At 39.4% G+C, this 25081-nt stretch overlaps 1 protein-coding gene across 22 annotated transcripts in view, besides 1 other annotated feature; it reads left to right on the top strand.

The window, feature by feature from the left end:
* The window catches only part of GRIP1 (glutamate receptor interacting protein 1), a 721908-nt gene that overhangs the window by 645768 nt on the left and 51059 nt on the right, over positions 1-25081 (top strand). For all 22 annotated transcript variants that reach the window (XM_047428622.1, XM_005268757.5, NM_001379351.1 and 19 more), the window contains 2 exons: positions 2782-2851; positions 17143-17288. In XM_047428622.1, the coding sequence (XP_047284578.1) occupies positions 2782-2851; positions 17143-17288 (216 nt within the window). The remainder of the gene's footprint in view (positions 1-2781; positions 2852-17142; positions 17289-25081) is intronic.
* Positions 15246-15746: an enhancer, noted in NCBI's record as "H3K27ac hESC enhancer chr12:66801605-66802105 (GRCh37/hg19 assembly coordinates)". NCBI's record gives its function as "activates a minimal SCP1, AML or CMV promoter by ChIP-STARR-seq in primed H9 embryonic stem cells {active_cell/tissue: H9 hESC(primed)}" and the evidence as "EXISTENCE:reporter gene assay evidence [ECO:0000049][PMID:30033119]".

Here is a 25081-nt window from a genome sequence, read left to right as displayed (position 1 = left end):
GTGGAGAACTCCAATCAAATTCCAAGCACTCAGTGAATGCTAGTGTATTCTCATTCAAAGGGTCACAAACTCAGAAGCTTTCATGGGTGAGGCAACTCAGTGAGTGAGATCAGCCCAATGAGGATAGAGGCAAATGGGAAATCAAAGGCTCCATCTAAAGGAGGTAGTGGGAAACAGTCCACTGTTGTTAAACAATAATAGCAACAATAAACATTTATGTAATTCCTTATGTGTGCACTCATCCAATCTCTTTACATGTAATAGCTCACATAATCCTCCCAACAAAAACTGTATGGTAAGCACTGTTATTCATGAACACCATTTTGCAGATGAGGAAACTAAGGCACCTGAGTACTTTGTGCTCAAGCACATATAGCTAATAAGTGGTAGAGCCAGGATTTTGGACCCAACCATTCTGGCTGCCAAGTCCTGTCTCTCAATCATGACACCATATTGCCCATCTATTTTTTTAAAAGAAGCCATGTATCTATATAAAATCTACTAATTTGTAAGTGTTGGCAACTAAATATTTTTAAAGCACTACCAGCCAAGCAAAGCATGCTTGGTTTGTGATTTATTCTTAGGTAGTAGAAAATTAAAACATGGGGCTAGGATACACAAACCATGACTGGGCCCCCGGACCATGCATAGCCACATTTAACATGCATGGTGGTGATGGGCAGGATCTCATACAGATCTGGATGACACACTTCTGGGTTCGACCCCATCATCCCAATGGGCATCCACCCTATCGAGTCCATTAAAGGAGAAAGAGAAGAATCTAGTAAATGTGAAAATGGCCACCATACATGTCTGTAGACCATGAGTAGTTTCAAACTCCTCTGCAAAGCTGTGTAGGTTTGACCAAGACCTTATAGTGCTATATTTCTCTCTTTCAAGGATGACAGAGATAGGTCTGATATATTTTGTTGCCTCTACTATTGTTTGGTTTTACAGACCATTTCAGTGGAACATGGATTTTTTTTAAAAAAGCCAAAGGAAACATTGAGTGCTATGTGATGGTTACTACAGCTTGGCAAAAATATTGTGTCAATTCATTGGCAGATGCTAGAAAAGCTGTACTTGCTGGTAATAACAAAGTTTTTGTTTTTGTGCCCTATGCCCAGAACAATTTGCAGTTTTGAAATATGATGTAACTAGAAATCCTGGATGCTTATATGCCTCTAGAGGCATTCTATCAAATCATTGAATGAAGTTTTAAATTATGAATTAATTGTAGTGAAGAGAATGTTTTGCATTCTTTGCTGGAAGCTAAGAATAATGATTAAATGAAGTCCCATTAGCATTTACTATGGACTAATTTAGACAGTGGGTAAGGTATCGGTATATGCGTTTTCTTTTTCTTTAAATGTTGTGTTAAGATATTAAGCCATCTGTTCTTGTGCATAAACATTTTCCTGGGATTCAGATGGGATTATGGGATATGATATGGCTCTATGATTATTATGGGGTGATCAGACTGTTTATAATAAAATCTTACTTTAGGGGCCTGTTAATGATCTCTAAAAGGAAACCACTCCAGCCTTCAGGTTGGCAAAATATCTCCTCTTGGAGGCAAATTGTTTTTCACAAATGTTGGTATGGCTAATTTTAAGGATCCAATTCCTAAATTAAGTGCAAACCTCTAATCCAAGATTTTTTTTTGTATTTATATGGACTATAATTAGTTTCTAGGGTTAATTCTAAGTAGGCTCATTTATAATTGTTTTTTACTCTCATAAATGGAAATATTCCTGAGAAAATTGATAAAAACCCAAAACTGACCACTGTGCAGTATAATAGTTTTATCTAAAAACTCAATAAAATTACATGTACATGTTTAGAATATGAGCATATATAAAAATTTAGTTAACTAGCAACAAAATATTTACTAAAAAAAAAAAAAAGTCACATTCCAAGAGCTTTCTAAGTATGAATTTGTGAGCAGAATTTAAAGATTTAGAGTCCATCTAGCAAAAGATTTCCTTGTGAGGAAAAAAAAAAGAACTTTATTGATTGATTGATCAAGACGGAGTTTTGCTCTGTTGCCCAGGCTAGAGTGCAGTGGTGTGATCCTTGGATCACTGCAACCTCTGCCTCCTGGGTAAAAGCAATTCTCCTGCCTCAGTCTCCCAAGTAGCTGGAACTACAGGCATGTGCCACCATGCCTTTCTAATTTTTGTGTTTTTCGTAGAGGTGGGGTTTCACCATGTTGGTCAAGCTGATGTCGAACTTCTGACCCCAGGTGATCCTCCCACCTCAGCCTCTCAAAGTGCTAGGATTACAGGCATGAGCCACTGTGCCTGGCCAAAAAAAAGAACTTTAAATCAGTAATTCTTATCCACTTTCCCACTCTACACTGAAGTGATATATGGCATATTCCCATCAACAGTGGTGTCTCCTCACTGGAAAGGAATAAAAGAAGGGGTAACTAAGGGGAGCCCCCAATTGATTTTAATACTCTCCAACTGAGATACCCACCCTTCAGGTCCTCTCTTGAGAATTGCTTATTAAAATAGATTTAAATTAAATGGGTACTTATCCAATTGCTTTCTCTAATTACAAATTTAAAGTGGCATTGCTTTAGTTTTTATGTTTGTAAATATTTTAGCACAAACATTTGTAAAGACATAATGTGCATACTTCCTAATTCATTTGCTGACCATCTTTGTTTTGCATACAAACATTACTTGCATTAAGTTATTATAAAACAGGGGAAATGTACAGTAAGGGGTGAATAATGGATATAAAGATGTGATTATTCTATCTCCATTATTACAGCACCATCCAGTAGAAAACCAGGAGACCCCCTCGTCATTTCAGATATCAAGAAAGGGAGTGTGGCACACAGGTAAGGAAAATGGATTTTCTGATTCATTTTAAGGCCTCTCTTAATTTAAGTAAACATGACACCTTCCACACCCAAAGCAAACCTTTCTAATGGGTCACTGTATTTTCAAAAACTTCCAAGCAGCCACTATTAATTGATCATATTTGACATCCCTAGTTCCAGTGGCTCCATAGATCTCTTCCTGCTTATCAATTTATTTCTGCACAGCTGAAAACATTTCTTAGGGTCTTTCATGAATCTAGCATAGGCTCTCCTTCACTGGTCAGCTTCCATTCATTTTCTGACCAAAAAAAAAAAAAAAAAACCCTGAAAGTAGCAGCACTTATTAGAGGTACCCAAACAGAGGTGATAAGTTGTGCAAGAATTTTGCTGTTACCAGAATATCCCCTCTGGGCAAGCAAGATTCTTGAGTTTTAAAATGTTCATGTCACCTATTTGGCCCATATACCATCAAAATCAGGAGGTCTCAAATTTTTCATTTCATAAATAAAAATATTTTTAAATGATTGAGGATACTGATATAAGACCATTAACTTTCTTTTTATTTTCCAATTCAGGACTTAAAAAAATTTCAACCTATTATCACAATTATTTTATTAAATAAATACTTTGTTTTATTTTTGAGACCGAGTGTCACCTGTATCACCCACGCTGGAGTGCAGTGGCACAATCTCGGCTCACTGAAACCTCTGTCTCCTGGGTTCAAGCGATTCTCCTGCCCCAGCCTCCCAAGTAGCTGGGATTACAGGTGCACACCGCCATGCCCGGCTAAGTTTTGTATTTTTTACTAGAGGCGGGGTTTTGCCATGTTGGCTAGGCTGGTCTCAAACTCCTGACCTCAGGTGATCCACCCACCTCAGCCTCCCAGAGTGCTGGGATTATAGGTGTGAACCGCCACACCCAGCCCAAGAAATACTTTAACATTCAAAAAGTAGGAAGGACATTGTGTGAGTTTAGGTGATATATGTGCAGGCTCCACTGCTATGACAAAGAGACATCCAAAGACAGTGGATCAAGCAAGACAGAAGTTTCTCTCTCATAACAGTTGGGAGATAGGCAGGCAATCCAGGGCTATGGGAGCCATCCCAGCAGCTTGTCAGTTATTACCATTTTTTTATTTTTAATTTTTGTGGGTATATAGTTGGTATATATACTTATGGGATACAAGAGATATTTTGATAAGGCATGCAATGCACAGTAATTACATCATGGAAAATAGGGTACCCATCCCCTCAAGCTTTTATCCTTTGTGTTACAAACAATCCAATTATACTTTTTTAGTTATTTTTAAGTGTACAATTAAATTACTACTGACCATAGTCACCCTGTTGTGCCATCAAATACTAGGTCTTAGTCATTCTATTTTTTTGTACCCATTAACCATCCCTACTTTCCCCACGCTGACCCCCCCACTACCCTTCCTAGCCTCTGGTAACCATCCTTCTACTCTCTCTCTCTCCATGAGTTCAGTTATTTTGATTTTTAAATACCACAAATAAGTGAGAACATGTGATGTTTGTATTTCTGTGCCTGGTTTATTTCATTGAACATAATGACCTCCAGTTCCATCTAATGCATTGCAAATGACAGGATCTCGTTCTTTTTTATGGCTGAATGGAACTCCATTGTATATATGTACCACATTCCTTTTATCCATTTATCTCTCAGTGGACACTTATGTTGCTTGCAAATCTTGGCTATTGTGAACAGTGCTGCAGCAAACATAGGAGTGCAGATATCTCTTCAATATACAGATTTCCTTTCTTTTGGGTATATACCCAAGCAGTGGGATTGCTGGATCATATAGTAGCTCTATTTTTAGTTTTTTGAGAAACCTCCAGCTGTTTTTATGGTGCTTGTACTAATTTACATTCCCATCAACAGTGTACCAGGGTTCCCTTTCCTCCACATTCTCTCCAGCATTTGTTATTGCCTGTCTTTTGGATAAAAACCATTTTAACTCGGGTCAGATGATATCTCATTGTAGTTTTGATTTGCATTTCTCTGATGACCACTGATGTTGAGCATCTTTTCTTATGCCTGTTAGACATTTGTATGTCTTCTTTTGAGAAATGACTATTCAAATATTTTGGCCATTTTTTAATAGGATTACTAGATTGTTTTTTCCTATAGACTTGTTTGAGCTCCATGTATATTCTGGTGATTAATCCCTTGTCAGATGGATAGTTTGCAAATATTTTATCCTATTATGTGAGTTGTCTCTTCACTTTGTTGATTTTTTTTCTTTGCTATGAAAAAGATTTTTCACTTGTTGTGATCCCATTTGTCCATTTTGCTTAGGTTGCCTGTGCTTGTGGGATATTACTCGAGACATATTTGCCCAGAGCAATGTCCTGGAGAGTTTCCCCAATGTTTTCTTGTGGTAGTGTCATAGTTTGAAGTCTTAGATTTAAGTTGTTAATCCATTTTGATTTGACTTTTGTATATGGCAAGAAATAGCTGTCTAGTTTTTTTCTTCTGCATGTTGATATTCAGTTTTCCCAGCACCATTTGTTGAAGAGACTGTCTTTTCCCCAATGTATGTTTCTAGGCACCTTTGTCAAAAATGAGTTCACTGTAGGCATGTGGATTTGTTTCTGGGTTCTCTATTCTGTTCCATTGGTCTATATGTGTGTTTTTTTGTCAGTGCCATGGTGTTTGGGTTACTTTAGCTCTGTAGTATAATTTGAAGTCAGATAATGGGATTCTTCCAGTTTTGTTCTTTTTGCTCAGGATAGAATTGGGTATTCTAGGTCTTTTGTGGTTCAGTATAAATTTTAGGATACTTTTCTCTATTTCTGTGAAGACTGTCATTGGTATTTTGATACAGATAGCATTGAATATGTAGATTGCTCTGGGTAGTATGGATATTTTAACAATATTGATCCTTCTAGTTTATAAACATGTAGTTTATTTTCTATTTGTTTGTGTCCTCTTCAATTTCTTTCATCAGTGTTTTACAGTTTTCATTGTAGAGATCTTTTACTTCTTTCATTAATTTCTAAGTATTTGATTTTATTTGTGGCTCTTGTAAAAGGGATTACTTCTTTAATTTCTCTTTCAGATTGTTCACTGTTGGCATATAGAAATGCTACTGATTTTGTATTATTTATTTTGAAGCCTGCAACTTTACTGAATTTTTTTAATCAGCTCTAATTGTTTTTTGTGGAGTCTTCAGGTTTTTCCAAATATAAGATCATGTCTTCTGCAAGCAAGGATAATTTGACTTCTTCCTTTCCAATTTGGATACGCTTTTATCTTTCCCTTGTGGGATTGCTCTAGCTAGGACTTCCAGTACTGTGTTGCATAACAGTGGTGACAGTGAGCATCCTTGTTGTGTACCAGATCTTAGAGGAATGGCTTTTAGTTTTTCCTCATTCAGTATGATACTAGCAGCAGCTCTGTTGTATATGGCTTTTATTATGTTGAGGTATATTTCTTCTATACCCTAGTTTTTTGAGGATTTTTATCATGAAGGGATGTTAAATTTTTTCAAATGCTTTTTCAGCATCAATAGAAATGATCATATGGTTTTTGTCCTTTATTCTACTGACATGATGTGTTTCACTCACAGATTTGCATAGCTTGCACCATCTTTTAATCCCTGGGTTGTGATCCAACTTGGTTGTGATGAATCATCTTTTTAATATATTTTTGACTTCACTTTGCTAGTATTTTATTAAGGATTTTTGCATCAATGTTCGTTAGAGGTTTTTGGCCCATAGTTTTCTTTTTCTTTTTCTTTTTCTTTTCTTTTCTTTGTGTGTGTGTGTGTGTCTTTGTCTGGTTTTGTTATCATGGTAATACTGGCCTCATAGAATGAGTTTGGAATCATTCCCTCCTCCTCTATTTTTCAGAATAGTTTTAGCAGGATTTATATTAGTTCTTTAAATGTTTGGTAGAATTCAGCAGTGAAGCCTTTGGGTCCCAGGTTTTGCCTTACTTGGAGACTTTTTATTATGACTTCAATCATGTTACTTATTATTGGTCTGTTCAGGTTTTGAATTTCATCATAGTTCAATGTTAGTACATTGTATGAGTCTAGGAATTTACCCATTTCCTCTAGCTTTTCTAATTTATTGGCATATAGTTGCTCATAGGAGCCACTAATGATCCTTTGAATTTCTGTGATATCAGTTATAATGTCTCCTTTTTCATCTCTGACTTTATTTAGTTGGGTCTTCTCCTTTTTTTATTTTTGTTATTAGTCTTGCTAAAGCTTTGTCCATTTTGCTCACCTTTTTAAAAACATTTTGTTTCATTGATCTTTGCATTGTTTTCTTCATTTCAAATTCATTTGTTTTTGCTCTGATCTTTATTATTTATTTTCTACCACTAATCTTGGGTTCAGTTTGCTCTTGCTTTTCTGATTCTTTAAGATGCATTGTTAGGTTATTTATTTGAAGTCTTTGTTCTTTTTTGATGTAGGCACTTATAGCTAAAAATTTCCTGCTTAGTGCTGCTTTTGCTGTATCTCATTGGCTTTAGTGTGTTGTGTTTCCATTATCATTTGTTTCACGAAATTTTTTAATTTTCTTATTAATTTCTTCATTGGCCCACAGGTCACTCAGAAGCAGGTTGTTTCATTTCCATGTGTCTGCATAGTTTACAAAATTCGTCGTGTTTTTTTTTTCTTCAAATTTTATTTTAAGTTCCAGGGTACATGTGCAGGATGTGCAGGTTTGTTACATAGGTAAATGTGTGCCATGGTTTGCTGCACAGATCAACCTATCATCTAGGTATTAAGCCCAGTCTCCATTAGCTATTCTTCCTGATGGTCTCCCTCCCATCACCTCACCCATGACAGGCCCCAGTGTATGTTGTTGTTTCCAATGTGTCCATGTGTCCTCATCGTTCAGCTCCCACTTATAAGTGACAACATGCAGTGTTTGGTTTTCTGTTTCTGTGTTAGTTTGCTGAGGATAAAGCCTTCCAGGTCTATCCATGTACCTGCAAAGGACATGATCTCATTCCTTTTTATGGCTGCATAGTATTCTGTGTGTATATATATCACATTTTCTTTATCCAGTCTATCATTAATGGGCATTTGGGTTGATCCCATGTATTTGCTATTGTGAATAGTGCTGCAGTGGACATAAGCGTGCATATATCTTTATAATAGAATAATTTACATTCCTTTGGGTATATATCCAGTAATGGGATTGCTGGGTCAAATGGTATTTCTGCTTCTATATCTTTGAGGAATCGCCACACTGTCTTTCATAATGGTTGAACTAATTTACATTCCCACCAACCATGTAAAAGCATTCCTTTTTCTCTGCAACCTCACCGGCATCTGTTGTTGCTTGACTTTTTCGTAATTGCCATCCTGACTGGCATCAGATGATATCTCATTATGATTTCAATTTGTATTTCTCTAATGATCAGTGATGACGAGCTTTTTCTCATGTTTGCTGGCTGCATGAATATCTTTTTTTGAGAAGTGAAGTTCTTTGTAGACTTTGGATATCAGACCTTTATCAGATGGATAGATTGTGAAAATTTCCTGCCATTCTGTATGTTGTCTGTTCACTCTGATGATAGTTTCTTTTGCTGTGCATAAGCTCTTTAGTTTAATTATATCCCATTTATCAAAGTTTCTTTTGTTGCCATTTTCCTTTGGCATTTTCGTCATGAAATCTTTGCCTGTGCCTATGTCCTGAATGGTATTGTCTAGATTTTCTTCTAGGGTTTTTATAATTTTGGGATTTACATTTAAGTCTTTAATCCATTTTATTTTATTTTATTTTATTTTATTTTATTTTATTTTATTTTATTTTATTTTATATAAGGTGTAAGGAAGGGGTCCAGTTTTAATTTTCTGCATACGATTAGCCAGTTCTCCCAGTGCCATGTATTAAATTGGGAATCCTTTTCCCATTGCTTGTTTTTGTCAGGTTTCTTGATGATCAGATGGTTATGGGTGTGTGGTCTTATTTCTGAGTTCTCTAATCTGTTCCTTTGGTCTATATGTCTGCTTTTGTACCAGTACCGTGCTGTTTTGGTTACTGTAGCCTTGTAGTATAGTTTGAAGTTGGGTAGCATGATACCTCCAGCTTTGTTCTTTTAGCTTAGGATTGGTTTGGCTATACAGGCTCTTTTTTTATTCCATATGAATTTTAAAGTAGTTTTTTTCTAATTCTGCAAAGAATGTCAATGGTAGTTTAATGGGCATGGTATTGAATCTATAAATTACTTTGGGCAGTATGGTCATTTTCATGATATTGATTTTTTCTATCCATGAGCATGGAATGTGTTTCCATTTGTTTGTGTCCTCTCTGATTTGTTTGAGCAGTGGTTTGTAGTTCTCCATGAAGAGGTCCTTCACTTCCTTTATTAGCTATATTCCTAGGTATTTTATTCTCTTTGTAGCAATTGTGAATGGGAGTTCTTTGATTATTTGGCTCTCTGCTTGCCTATTGTTGGTGTATAAGAATGTTAGTGATTTCTGCACAGTGATTTTGTATGTGGAGACTTTGCTGAAGTTGCTTATTAGCTTAAGAAGCTTTTGGGCTGAGATGATGCGGTTTTCTAGATATAGGATCATGTCATCTGCAAAGACAATTTGACTTCTTCTCTTCTGATTTGAATACCCTTTATTTTTTTCTCTTGCCTGATTGCCCTGGTCAGAACTTCCAATATACTATGTTAAATAGGAGTGATGAGAGGGCATCCTTGTCTTGTGCTAGTTTTCAAGGTGAATGCTTCCAGCTTTTGCCCATTCGGTATGATATTGGCTATGGGTTTGTCCTATGTGGCTTTCACTATTTTGAGTTATGTTCCTTCAATACCGAGATTATTGAGAGTTTTTAAATGAAGGGATGGTGAATATTATTGAAGGCCATTTCTGCATCTATTGAGGTAATTATGTGGTTTTTGTCTTTAGTTCTGTTTATATAATGAATCACATTTATTGTTTTGTGTATGTTGAACCAACCTTGCATCCCAGGGATGAAGCCAACTTGATCGTGGTGGATAAACTTTTTAAAGTGCTGCTGGATTCAGTTTGCCAGTATTTTATTGAGGATTTTTGCATCCATGTTTATCAAGAATATGAGCCTGAAGTTTTTACTTGCTGTTGTATATCTCTCCCAGGTTTTGGTATCAGGATGATACTAGCCTCATAAAATGAGTTAGGGAGAAGTCCCACCTTTTCAATTGTTTGGAATAGTTTCAGAAGAAATAGTACCAGCTCATCTTTGTACCTCTGTTAGAATTCAGCTGTAAATCCATGTGGTCCTGGGATTTTTTTGGTTGGTAGCCTATTTATTACTGTCTCAATTTCAGAACTGGTTGTTGGTCTCTTTGTTCTCATTAGTTTCAAAGAACTTCTTGATTTCTGCCTTAATTTTATTATTCACCCAAGGTTCACTCAGGGGCAGGCTGTTCAATTTCCAAGTAGTAGTGTGGTTTAGAGTGAATTTCTTAATCTTGAGTTTAATTTGATTGTGCTGTGGTCTGAGAGACTGTTATGATTTCAGTTATTTTGCATTTGCTGAGGAATGTTTTACTTCCAATTATGTGATCAATTTTAGAGTAAGTGTCATGTGGCAATGAGAAGAATGTATATTCTGTCGTTTTGGGGTGGAGAGTTCTGTAGATATCTGTCAGGTCCACTTGATCCAGAGCTGAGTTCGAGTCCTGAATATCTTTGTTTATTTTCTGTCTCGATGATCTGTCTAATATTGTCAGCGGGGTGTTACAATATCCCACTGTCACTGTGTGGGAGTATAAGTTTCTTCATAGGTCTCTAAGAACTTGCTTTATGAATCTGGGTGCTCCTGTATTAGGGGCATATATATTTAGGATACTTAGCTCTTCTTGTTGAATTTAACATTTTTTTTCTATCTTTGTTGGTTTAAAGTATCTTTTGTCAGAAATTAGGAGTGCAGGCTCTGCTTTTGTCAGTTTTTCATTGCTTGGTAAATTTTACTCCATCACTTTATTTTGAGCCTATGTGTGTCACTGCATGTGAGATAGGTCTCTTGAAGACAGCATACCAATAGGTCTTGGCTCTCTCTTTATCCAGTTTGCCATTCTGTGTCTTTTAACTGGGGCATTTATCCTGTTTACATTTAAGTTTAGTGTTGATATGTGTTAATTTGATCATGTCATCATGATGCTAGTTGGTTATTTTGCAAACTTGTTTATGTGGTTGCTTCATAGTGTCACTGGTCTGTGCATTTCAGTGTGTTTTTGTAGCAGCTGGTAATGGTTTTTCCTTTCCATATTTAGCTCTTCTTTTAAGAGCTCTTGCAAGGTAGGCCTGATAGTGATGAATTCCCTCAGCATTTATATGTCCGAAAAGGATCTTATTTCTCCTTTGCTTATGAAGTTTAGTTTGGCCAGATATGAAATTCTGGGTTGGAAATTATTTTCTTTAAGAATGTTGAATATTGGCCCCCAAACTCTTCTGGCTTGTAGAGTTTCTGCTGAGAGGTCTGCTGTTGGTCTGATGGACTTCCCTTTGTAGGCGTCCTGGCTTTTCTTTCTGGCTATGCTTAACATTTTTTTCTTTCATTTCGACCTTGGAGAATCCAACGATTATGTGTCTTGGGGTTGATCTTCTCCTGTAGTATCTTATTGAGGTTCTCTGGATTTCCTAAATTTGAATGTTGGCCTGTCTTGCTAGGCTAGGGAAGTTCTCCTGGATTATATCCTGAAGTACATTTTCCAACTTAGTTCTGTTCTCCCCTTCTCCTTCAGGTACCCCAATCAGTCATAGATTTGGTCTTTTTACATAATCCCATATTTTTGGAGGTTTTGTTTATTCCTTTTTATTCTCTTTTCTCTATTCTTGTCTGCCTGTCTTATTTTAGAAAGATAGTCTTCAACTCTGAGATTCTTTGTTCCACTTAGTCTATTTGGCTATGGACACTTGTGATTGCGTTGTGAAGTTATCATGTTGTGTTTTTCAGCTCCATAAGGTCATTTATGTTTGTCACTAAACTGGCTATTCTGGTCATCAGCTCCTGTAATGTTTTATTATGATTCTTAGCTTATTTGAATTGGGTTAGAACATGCTCCTTTAGTTCAGTGAAGTTCATTATTACCCACCTTTTGAAGCCTACTTCTGCCAATTCAGTCATCTCAGCTTCAGCCCAGTTCTGTGCCCTTGCTGAAGAAGTGTCGCAGTTATTTGGAAGAGAAGAAGCACTCTGGCTTTTTGAGTTTTCAGCAGTTTTAAGTTGATTCTTTCTCATCTTTGTGAACTTATCTACCCTCAATCTTTGAGGTTGCTGATCTGTGAATGGAGTTTTTGTGGGGTCTTTTCGTTAATGATGTTACCGTTGTTGCTTTCTGCTTATTTGTTTTTCTTTTAACAGTCAGGCCCCCTTCTGTAGTGCCGTTGTGGTTTGCTGGGGGTCTACTCCAGACCCCAAGCCTGGATCCCTCCTGTGACAGCAAAGGCTACAAAACAGCAAAGATGGGAGCCTTCTCCTTCCTCTGGGAGCTCTGTCCCAGAGGGGCACTGACCTGATGCCGATCTGGAGACCTGGAGACCCCTGTTGGGAGGTCACACCCAGTCAGGAGGAACGGTATCAGGGACCCGCTTAAAAAAGCAGTCTGGCTGCCGCTTGACAGAGCAGGTGCACTGTGATTTGGGGAACCACCCTCATCCAGACCACCCAGACCCTCCAGAGCCAGCAGGCAGGAAAGGCTAAGTCAACTGAACAAGAGAGACCATGGCTTCCCCTCCTGCAAGGGGCTCCATCCCAAGAAGATCAGAGTTCTATTCATAAAACCCTGGCTTAGAGTGAATTTCTTAATCTTGGGTTTAATTTGATTGTGCTGTGGTCTTGAGAGACTGTTATGATTTCAGTTATTTTGCATTTGTAGTTGCTGAAATTCCTGCAGGTGGTCTATAAGGTTCTTGTACTTGAATATTGATATCTTTCTCTATGTTTGGGAAGTTCTCTGTTATTATCCCTTTGAATAAAATTTCTACCCCATCCCTCTCTCTACCTCGTCTTTAAGGCCGATAACTCTTAGATTTGGCCTTTTGAGGCTATTTTTTAGATCTTGTAGGTGTGCTTCATTGTTTGTCTGTTTGTTTGTTTGTTTGTTTGTTTGTTTTGAGACAGAGTCTCACTCTGATGCCCAGGCTGAGTGATGTGGTGCAATCTCGGCCCACTGTAACCTCTGCCTCCTGGGTTCAAGCGATTCTCCTGCCTCAGCCTCCCAAGTGGCTGGGATTACAGCTGCACACCACCATGCCCAGCTATTTTTTTTTTTTTTTTTGTATTTTTAGTAGAGACGGGCTTTCACCATGTTGGCCAGGCTTGTCTCGAACTCCTGACCTCAGGTGATCTGCCCACCTCGGCCTCCCAAAGTGCTGGGATTATAGGCGTGAGCCACCATGCCTGGCCCAGCTTTTTTTTTTCTTTCATCTTCTCTGGCTGTGTATTTTCAAATGTCCTGTCTCCAAGCTTACTAATTATCTCTTCTTTTTTTTTTTTTTTTTTTTTTGAGACGGAGTCTCGCTCTGTCGCCCAGGCGGGAGTGCAGTGGCGGGATCTCGGCTCACTGCAAGCTCCGCCTCCCGGGTTCACGCCATTCTCCTGCCTCAGCCTCCCAAGTAGCTGGGACTACAGGCGCCCGCCACTACGCCCGGCTAATTTTTTGTATTTTTAGTAGAGACGGGGTTTCACCGTTTTAGCCGGGATGGTCTCGATCTCCTGACCTCGTGATCCGCCCGCCTCGGCCTCCCAAAGTGCTGGGATTACAGGCGTGAGCCACCGCGCCCGGCCACTAATTATCTCTTCTGCTTCATCAATTCTGTTGTTAAGAGACTCTGATGCATTTTTTTAGTGTGTCAATTGCATTTTTCAACTCCAGAATTTCTGCTGGATTTTTTAAAATTATTTTAATCTCTTTGTTGAATTTATCTGATAGGATTCTGAATTTATGATCTGTATTATCACACACTCAAAACTTTATTGTTTACTCAAAACAGTAATTTAGAATTCTCTGTATGAAAGGCCATACATCTCTATTTCTCTGTGATTGGTCTTTCGTGCCTTATTTAGTTCACTTGGTGAGGTCGTGTTTTCTCAGATGGTCTTGATGCTCATGGATGTTCATTGGTGTCTGAGAATTGAATTGTTAAGTATTTATTATAGTCTTTGCAGTCTGGGCTTGTTTGTACCTGTCCTTCTTGGGAAGGCTTTCTAAGTATTCGAAGGGGCTTGGGTGTTGTGATCTAAGTTTTTGGTCACTTCACCTGTATCTCCATTAGGGGGCACCCCAAGTCCAGTAACACTATGGCTCTTGCAGACTCAAAAATACTGCCTTGGTGGTCTTGGGTAAGATCCAGAAGAATCATCTGGATTACTAGGCAGAGACTCTTGTTCTCTTCCTTTTCTTCCAAACAGATATAGTCTCTCTCTCAGTGCTGAGCTGCCTGAAGCTGAGGGGTGGTGGGGTGACACAAGCACCCCTTGGTCACCACCACTGAGACTATGCTGGTTCAGACCTGAAGCCAACGTGGTACTAGGTCTCAACTATGGCTGCCAGTAAACCCTTACTGGCTACCACTAGGCCATGTTCACTCAAGGACCAAAGGCTCTACAATCAGCAGGTGGCAAAGCCAGCCAGGGTAGTATCCTTCTTTTCAGGGCAGTGAGCTCCCCCTGGCCCCTTGCAGGTCTAAAGATGCCATCTAGGAGCCTGGTCCTAGAGTCAAAAACCTTAGGAATCTACCTGGTGCTCTATTCTACTATAGCTGAGCTGGCACCCAAGACACAAGACAAAGTCCTTCCCATCCTTTCCTCAAGGAGAGAAGTCTCTCCCCCTGGCCACCACTGCTCCAGGCCCATGGCAAGTACTGCCTGGCTATTGCTGATGTTCACTCAAGACCCAAAGGCTCTTCAGTCAGCTTGTGGCGAATGCTGCCAGGGCCGGGACTCTTCTTTCAAGGCGATGGGCTCCCCTCTGTCCCAGAGCAGGTCCACAAACGTCCAAGAGCTAAGGCCTAGAATCAGGGAACCCAAGAGCCCACTTGGTACTCTACCCTACTGTTGCAGAGCTGGTACCTAAGCTTCAAGATAAAGTCCTTTTTACTATTCCTCTGCTTTTCTCAAGCAGAAACAGCCTCTCCCCATAGCCACCACAGCTGGGAATGTGCTGGGTCACACCTGAAGCCAGCACAACTCAGAGTCTCACCTAAGGCCCACAGCAAGTACTACCTGACTACTGCTGCTGATTTTATTTTTTTATTATATTTAATTTTATTTATTTTTTGAGACAGAGTCTCATTCTGTTGCCCAGGCTGGAGTGCAGTGGTGCAATCGGCTCACTGCAACCTGCACCTCCCAGGTTCAAGTGATTCTCCTGCCTCAGCCTCCCGAATAGCTGGGATTACAGGCGTGCACCACCACGCCTGGCTAACTTTTGTATTTTTAGTACAGACCGAGTTTCACCATGCTGGCCAGGATGGTCTTGAACTCCTGGTCTCAAGTGATCCACCCACCTCGGCCTCCCAAAGTGCTGGGATTACAGGCATGAGCCACCGCGCCCAGCCATGCTGCTGATTATTCAGGGCCCGAGGGATATTTAGTCAGCAGGTGAAAAATGCTGCCAGGACTGGGTCCTTCCCTTCAAGGCAGCAGGTTCCCTTGCAGCCCTGGGTGTGTCTAGAAATGTTATCCCGGGGCAAAGACCTAGAAAAGGGGCCTTAGGACTCTGCCCGGTGCCCTGTCGTACTATGGCTGAGCTGATATCCAAGTTGCAAGACAAAGTCTTCTTTACTCTCCCCTCTTCTCTACTCAGTTAGAGTGAAGGACTCTCTCTGGGAGTTGTGAGCTGTGCTGTGTAGGGCTAGGGGAGGGGTGTTGCAAGCACTCACTTAGCCACCCCAGCTGGTTTCTCACTAGGTCACATGCCCCCCAAGTCTACTGGCTCTGAGCTCAGCACAGCATCAGGGCTTGTCCAGGAATTGCTGTCTTTGTGGCTTTAAACTGTCTTGAGTTTATTTAGTACCCAAGAACACTTTAGCGTGCAGCAGTGAGGCGTGTTGGAACTCAAGTTCTGACCACCGGAATGGGTGATTCCCCTCTGCCTAGGGCTGATCTAAATGTTCCCTCCGTGGATATCAGCTGACTTCTGCCCAGTGTTGCTTTCCGCTGTGACAGGGTAGCACTGAGTTTCAATGCAGTCTCTCCCTCACTGTGTTCTCCCTCCCACAAGTGCACAGTTTTTCTCTCCATGCCATGTGGCTGCTGCAGAAGGAATGGGGGAGGGGCCGGCATCATCAGTTCAAGACTTTCTTTCCTACCCTCTTCAGTGCCTCTTTCAATGATATGAAGTTAAAACCAGGTACTGTGATTGCTCATCTGATTTTTGGTTCTTATAAAGGTGCTTTTCTGTATGGATAGTTGTTAAATTTGGTGTTCCTGCAAGGAGGATGATCAGTGGAGGCTTTTATTCAGCCACCTTGCTCCGCCTCCCTCCTGTTACCATTTTCTAGCTACAGGCAGGAGGTGGGGAGGGTCCCCAGAGAGTCTGGGGCATGCATTTTTAGAGGGTAACTTAAAAGAAGGGAAGGGAGAATGGATGCTGGGAGACAATTAGCAGTCTCTGGCACAGATATAATGCATAAAAGGCTGTTCTTACAAATCTGTGTATATATACATATACACACATAGAAACATATACATACTACATTCACATTATTTTTTTTGTTGTTTCATTATGGACCTTAAAATTTTTTTCAACAGACCTACCCTGGTCCACAGCCAGTTTTAGAGTCTCAGTGGCCACTTTCCAAATAAGAAGCTATGGATTCATCTATAAATTTTCATGCTACTCTGGCCATAGTGAGTTTCCAGATGCAAGTGGAAGTAGCAGAGGTGCAAGCCTTAGGCTTCCACTAACTCTATTACACCTTGCCTTCTGTCATTCTCTTAATGCTCTCCTAGTATCTGGACTACCAAGGATCAAAAGTAATACAACAATATGGAGAAAGACAAGGATACCTGGGTCTATGCAGACCCTCGCCCATTACCTCCCTTCCTAGGAATTGTATGCTTCCTGAGTGACACATATGTTCTTGTTTAATTGAAAAAAGTATAAGAAAAAATGTTTTTAATACTCTGCAATTTAATATCATGGCAGGCAACCCAAATAAGACTAGAAGAAGGGAGGGAGTTGTCAATGAAGTACAATTTAAAAACAGTTGAACCTCTTTTCCTCTAAAGACTACCATAATGCTGCATTATGCTTAATGCCTCTTTAAATGGCCTAGTTAAGTGCTCATCATTAGTCATGTGTTACTTTGCATTCACTAACAGAACTGGGACCCTGGAACTTGGGGATAAATTGCTCGCAATAGATAATATCCGGCTGGACAACTGTTCCATGGAAGATGCAGTTCAGATCCTCCAGCAATGTGAAGACCTGGTGAAGCTCAAAATCCGCAAAGATGAAGATAATTCAGGTATTGAGAGCATCCTTAGTTAAAACTGATTTTTCGAACTGCCCATCTGTCACCAAAGATATTAGATCTTGATGTTTTACATACAACAGCTGGCTAGTGATGTGGCAGCAGTGTTTCACAGCTAAAAGAGTCTTTAAATTTTGTGCTGAGAGTGTAGTACAAATTTTAAATAATGGTGCTTGTAAATGATATCATTAAGATATTTTCATTATAGAAAACATATTATAATTGCATGAAAATAATTTTTAAAGATGAAATCTAAATCATCATCTAATACAGTGAAACTGGTAGTTTTCTAGTTTTTATTGGTATTCATATGGCATAACTATAACCAAGTGAATGTTGCATTTTTTTACCTAATTTTACATTGTAAACATTTGATCGTTTTATAAACTCTTAATATCTATCATTTTTATTGACTGCCTGTGATTTACCTTTCTTCTCTTCTTAAATCACTATATTGCTTCCAATTGTTTCATTATTGTAAATAGTACTCTTATAGACATCTTTATGCATAGATATCTTTATCCAGCTTTTTTTTTCTTTTGAAATAAGAAAATATTCCTAGAAGCAGGATGGCTGAGTAAGAATACAAAGGAAATGTCTATGATTCCTGATGAGTCAGTCATGCCCCATGTTGCTTTTCAAAAGGGCTATACACATTTTTTAGGCCCTCCAATCAAACTTAGGAGGGCATAGAATCATATCTGAAGAGCTTGTTAAAACACAGATCCTGGCACCACCCCAGGTGGGACCTGAGATTCTGGATTCCTAATAAACACCCAGATGCTGCCACAGCTGTGGTGCAAGGAGCACACTTTGGGTAGCCCTGAAATAAGAGACATCTTATCTGATTATGATAAGAATATAGAGCCAATTGAAAAGTGTCCATTCACCAAAAGAGTCAGCTAATGTGGGGAATTACAGAATGTGATATGGATCCATAAAGTAAACGTTTAATTTACAATTTTGCCAATCTCGTGGGTAAAGTCAAGGCCTTTCCTATTAATATGGTTCTGCTGATTATACTTACAAGTCTTTTTGTTTGTTTGCCTAAACCGTATCCACAATATATATTTTATGATTTCCAGTTTTATTTTGGTTTGGTTTGGTTTTTAATGCAGTGAGACTTTAAAGAATTTATAGCAATCTGAATTCTTCCTCCACCTAGATTTTGGTTTTCCCCAATGTTGTAGAGTTTTTCCATTAGGTAATTAACAGTAGATGTTTTGTTTGTTTGTTTCTTGTTTTGTGTGGCACACCCAGGCTGGAGTGTGCCATGGAGTGCAGTGGCGCCAACTCTGCTCACTGCAACCTCCACCTCCCAGGTTCAAGCAATTCTTGTGCCTCAGCCTCCTGAGTAGCTGGAACTACTGGTGTGTGTCACCTTTCCTGGCTAATTGTTGTATTTTTAGTAGAGATGGAGTTTTGCCATGTTGGCCAGGCTGGTCTCAAACTCCTGACCTCAAGTGATCTGCCCACCTCGGCCTCCCAAAGTGCTGGGATTACAGGTGTGAGCCACTGCGCCTGGCCATAGATTTTTGCCTAACGAACCCTTATTGAATCTTTCCAAACCATTGGATTTTGTTTTCATAGAACAACTACATTCATATTTCATAGGTTATATAAGATTAATTAAATTACATAGTTAAAATAACAAGTACAGCTGGCATAAACGGGTTTAGGAATAAATATAATTGCCTCTAGATTTTGAAGTTTACAACTCAAGCAGGAGCAGGAGCAGAAGCCCAGAGGGGCAACATAAAGAAACCTATTGCTCTGGAGCATGCCATGGCATTGGTCTGTACATTTTATGGTGGAAGACGAACAGCCACAATTAATTCAGTAAATTGGTTAAGTGGAGATTGGTTAAGAGAACGTCTACTGTATATAATTTCATTGCAACCAATAATGAAGTTGTGGCAATGTTCTGGGATTTTGTTAATCAGGTCATCTAGATCTAGAGTTCACGGTTATGTCAGGCTATGTGTTTATGATTCCTTTTCCAAGTAAAAAAAAATCTATAGTTGCATCCATCAGTACAATTGATAATAATGATTATATCCAAATATATTTTATAACCAATGTTTAAAAATATGCACAGGTTTGCACTCATTATTTCTTAAGCAACTGATTTTCTGTGCCAACATTTGCATTTCTCTCCTTACAAGCCTGCTTCAGTTGCACTTTCTTTTGGGGATTGATTTCAAAATAGAGAGGAAGCCTTTAGCATCAGCCTGGGTTCTGTCCTAGTGAAGAGGCAAAGCCCTGTGGAGAAACCTGTTTTGCATGATTTGCCCTGCTCAGCAGATGTCAGCTACCTTCCTTGCAAAGTGAAAAAGCCAAGCCAGAGATGAATATGTATAGTGTGCACAGCTGGCAATGCACCCAGTTTCAAAGCCAGGCTGTGTCTACCAGTTGGCAGGAGTTTCTGAAACAACTGAGCACTTGGAGAGCTAGATCTTATTTTCAGTTACTGATTTCCTTTGCCTCATTTTCCCCCTTTATACCCTTCCCCTACAATCTCTATGTATACTATTATGATGGTTATTGTGCTTATTAAATATGTTTTAATTTTAAGAGGCTCTGTTTTTAAAATCCTAAACCTTCCATTGAAAAACATACAACCACCCAAAATAAGACTATAAATATTGGCATGAGAGATATGCTTACCCAAACCAGATTTTCTCATATTGATATACAGAAATATATACTCATTCAGACATGGTTTTATAAAAGATCACTCTTTGAAAATTATTCAGTTATTGATTTGGAAGAATTTATATGATCCTAGTATCCTCTTCCCTCATAACATCATAAATATAATTTGAGTATCTGAATTCATTTTTATTCAGAGCAAAGTAAGGGAGGAAAAAAAAACATTATTCAAAATGTAAAGCCTGACCACAGATTATTTAAAGGCAAACTAAATCTTCACAAAGAGCAAATGTTTTAAAACCAGACATGATATAAGAACTCAGAAGAAGAGAGGGTAGACGGGGGATGAGGGACAACAACAACTACATATTGGGTACCGTGTACACCACTTGGGTGATGGGTGCACAAAAATCTCAGGCTTCACCACTACACAATTCATCCAGGTAATGAAAAATCACTTGTACCCTTAAAGCTATTGAAATAAATTAAAAAAAAAAATCAGACCTCAGTTTAAAGTTCAGCTCTACCACATTTGAGCTGTGAGAGTTTGGGCAACTTGGTAAACTTGTCTGAGATTTGGTCCCATTTTCAGTAATGTCTACATAATAGTACCCATCTCAGGGAGCTCTTGTAGCTTACTGAAGGAAATACTGGCACAGTCCATGCTCCACTCAATAAGTGGGGACTATCTGTATTCTAATTACCTCCTGAAATCCCTTTCTCTGCATTCGTTCTGATCCTTGATCAAGATATGACTGAGTGGAAAATAAGCATTTACCCTTTGGACAGTCACTGATTTTGAAAGTTTGATATAATGCTTAATCTGAAATTATGCTGGTGATTAGAACTATCACATTAAATAGTTGTCATGCTTCGTCTCAATATTTTTGAATGGTAATATTCAGCGTATATTCTCCACCCCCAGAAATATTGCTCATACTAATGTGGGCCCTCTGCACTGCAGGAGTTTTCCAGTCCTTTAACTGCTGGCTGCTCTCCATCCTTCAGTGATGATTCTCTCTCTGGTCACAGGAAGTTTATAACTATACTTGATGGAACTTGGTTTCCTAAGCTAGCTTGTACTGCAATTGGGGTTTAACAGATACTACTTCAAAATGTAAGCATTTCTTCCAGCTTCCCAAGTCTCGCTACCCTGCTGTGTACCTTACCCAAGGAGATGGTAGAACTATTCCCAAATGCTGCTAAAGCCCTCGATTTTCAGTCATGCCATCAGCATTCGTTTATTGTCTATGAAGTATCAGGCAATGTGCCATGGACTACCAGTTCTTAGATAAAAGGGACACAATCCTGCCCTTAAATCAGTTACCACCAAATAGGAGAAACAAGAAAATCAATAATTAACAATATGATGAATGTCATAAGGATATGCACAAAATATTCCACAATGGTAAGAGAATGTGAAGGCATCCATTTCAGCCTGAGGACCTCAAGGAAAAGATTCTAACAACCTTGGTCTCGAAGGGATTTGTGAAGTGGTGCAGAAAGTTAGGGAGAGCATGGCACACTCTAGTAGGCAGATATGGCTCAAGCATAACGTGTGCAAGGACTTGGTAGTAGGTAAGCTAGAAAGGTATACTGGAGCCAAGTCATTATGGGCCTTGTAAATCATGTTAAGAAATTTGAATTTTATCCCAGAAACCAATGGGGGGCCATTAGAGGACTTAAAACAGGAATGAGGCCCACTGGACTTGGTTAGTGACCATTAATTTTAATCACTTGATGAAAGCGCTGAATGAGCCATTCAAGAGAGTCTGAATTAACTCTGTTTCTAGCCCAAGCTGGGGGAAACAGTAGAATGAAAGACTAAGAATGCCAGACTGGCTTCACAACTGACAATCTGGGAAATTTAGGCAAATTAACTTCTCTGAGCATCAGTTTCCTCATCTGTAAATGTCCATTTAATGCTTACTTTACATGGCTGTTTTAAGGATTAAAGGAGGAGATATATGTGTGTGTGTGTGTGTGTGTGTGTGTGTGTGTGTGTGTGTGTGTGTATATATATATACACACATATTTTTTTTTTTGAGACGGAATTTTGCTCTTGTCGCCCAGGCTGGAGTGCAATGGCACAATCTCGGCTCACTGCAACCTCCGCCTTCCAGGTTCAACTGATTCTCCTGCCTCAGCCTCCCAAGTAGCTGGGATTACAGGTGTCCACCACCATGCCCAGCTAATTTTTTGTATTTTTAGTAGAGATGGAGTTTTGCCATGTTGGGCAGGCTAGTCTCGAACTCCTGACCTCAGGTGAGCTGCCTGCCTTGGCCTCCCAAAGTGCTGGGATTTACAGGTGTGAGCCATCGCACCTGGCCTAAAGGAGGTAATATATTTAATAACTCACCAATAAGTTTGCACCTAGTGAGGCCCAATGAATGTTGACTATCAGTGGTCATTACTGTATTTGGATATTTTAAAAGTGAATTTCAGCTTTATTTAACAATGGCCAAATCTTTTGGAACACTTGGGGTTGTAGGCGTTTTCCTCCCTCACTCTGAATTCAGCCACCCTCCTGCCTTCAGGAGCTTCTGCATTTGTCGTCTTCCATTACTGAAGGAATGTAACTCAGGTAGTGTCCAGTGGTTCTTGTGTGGGTCCAAGGCTCTGGGATTCCTGAGGCTGCTACCCAATCCCCAATACCCAATCAGCAATGCAAATAATCCTCTTGAAAAAAATCTATTGTTTTGCCTTGATGGTTTCTGAGTCCAAAGTAAATGAAGAGAGTTGGAAGACCTGGCTAGGGCCTGAGAGGAAACCCTGAAGCAAAGCAGTAGAGACTTTTGGGGATTTGTAGGAAGAGATAGAGGTTTGCAAATCTATCACATATAGTTTTCAAAAGTCGGCTTTGTATTACCACCTTTTTGTCAATCAAATATACAGCTATTAATGATTTCTCGCTTGGTTTGGGGAATATTACTCTAATATATAGCATATTTTTGGAGACCATAAATCAATACTTTACCTTCATGGGCTGTAATCTGTGTTTAAAAAAAACCATTTTCAGGCTGCAGCTTGTCCTATTCAAAACAAATAACCTTTATACAGCCTTATTACTGATTAAATTAGTCCTTTGAAGACAGATTCATATTTTGGGCTTCAAATATTTATAGTTTACCAGTGTTAAGCCAAGCTAAGTAATTTGCAGTAGCTTTTTCCCCTAAACCCAGATTGGAGTATTGGTGTAGCAGAGATGCCCCATTCCAAGCTCCCAAGAATGATCTTGGCTGTCCTAGGAGCAGTGGAAAGAGGTGTGTTGGCAAGAAGCTGGCTGCAAGAAGGACCTATGATAAAAAGTACTTTTCTCTTTTTTGCATGCTTGATCTCATAAAGGGACGGCTCTCAAGCTTGAGTGTACATCGGAATCACCCAGAAGACATTAAAACACAGATGACTAGGCCCCTCTCCCAGAGTTCCCATTCCTGTTGGTCTGTGGGGTAGGGATTCTCAGTCAAATGCAAACTTGAGAATTTGCATTTTTAACAAGTTTGCAGATGATGCCAAAACTGCTAGTCCTAGAACTACACTTTGAGAAATGCTGTCACAAACAAACCTAGTTTTGAGACTTAAAATTATCACTTACACAAAGAAATTTGAATTCTACTCTGAAACACTCAACACTTGCTTGGACATCTCTTGGTATATCATTGTGACATATCTATGTAAAATGACCGTGCAGCAGTAAGGGAGCTGTAGAGAGTGTTGTTCAAATGGTTTACTTTCTCAGGCCTGTCCGACTCCAAGAAATTTAGCCGTACTCTAAAATTAATTCCATCACTTTTAGTTGAAGTGAACTTTGACTGACCTGCACATGTACGCCTTCCAAAGGCTCTCTCCCAAATCCAAGCCTCCTATTTGGCCACAGAAGCAGCTACCATTATGGATTCAAGCCAGATAGCATTCATTTTGTTAAACAGGCAGCACTCAAGAAGCCTGAAAATAACATTGCAGATAAGTAATGCAGCAATTTTGCATCTGTTCCGTGCTTCCATTAATTTTGTTAACTAGAGCTGAGCAGAACAAACAAGTAGGCTTGCCCCCTTTCCTGTCTTTCACTAATCGTTGTAAACCTTCTGTTGGGATATAAAAGTTGTTTATAATATCATTAACATCTGCTTAGGCTCACTTTGAAACTTACTAGTGATTCTACGTTTTTCTTTCTCAGAAGTTTCTCTTCTAGTTAAACACCCTAGTTGCTCCTTTCTAAGACTTCTACACTGGAGCAGCCTCAAGGAGAGTGTATCTAGGAGTGCTTCAATCTCCAAAATAGTCTGAGTATTCCTTCTTAAATGGCAATTATTACCCTCCTCCTAAGCTGCAGGGCCTCACCAGTTGAGTTAAAGCCCGAGAAGGCAGGTGGAATTGGCAGTTGACCCTAAAGCTGACTCAACGCTCCTGGCACGGTGGAGGGAGGAAGTTCTAGGTTTGCTTGTCCCCACAATGGCAGCTGAGGTTGTATTCTCAAACTTTGAATGAGATTGGGTTTGCATCACATGTCTTAGAAAAGGAAACTAGACCTTGGCATAGCAGGGAAGCTGACTCGCAATACTCTTCTGGAGATCTCAGCCTGGGAACCAATGACTACATGCTAATATTCATTCATCCTTCTGCTCACTTGTTCAAGCATTTACTGAGTTTGCTTTGGTACCAGACATAGTTCTAGGTTATGGGGATATGAGTTAAAAATCTCTGTTTTCAAGGTATTCTTATTCTAATGAAGAACCAAGTAGCGAGATCCTTAAAACATAGAGTGAAAGGCATATGCTAGAACATGCATTCTCAAGGGGGGCAAAAATTGGTTCTTAAAAGTTGGTTCTTGTGATAGCTTGGATATTATATTATAATAGTTTGTGGCCCTCCAAATCTCAATCATACCTGATGGAATTCTAGTCCTTAATATTTAACTTCTCTCATTAAGGAGAATTTAAAAATAATTTCACTCTTCTCCTTGTTTGAGAGCAAGAATGAAAATAAAAGTTTAGAAACATCAGAAGAATGCACAGAAGCTGTGGGTCTCATAGGAAGGCCTCTAGCCCCTCCAGCTAAGCCACCAGGAAGCCTTTCTGAAGGATGAGACTCTGAGCCAAGCTTTAAAGTAAAAGTAGAAATTCTACAGGATAACA

Source organism: Homo sapiens, chromosome 12 (genome assembly GCF_000001405.40).
Source record: "Homo sapiens chromosome 12, GRCh38.p14 Primary Assembly".
NCBI lineage: Eukaryota > Metazoa > Chordata > Mammalia > Primates > Hominidae > Homo > Homo sapiens.
The sequence above is the reverse complement of the archived record's forward strand: the minus strand, read 5'-3'. Positions and strand labels throughout refer to the sequence as shown.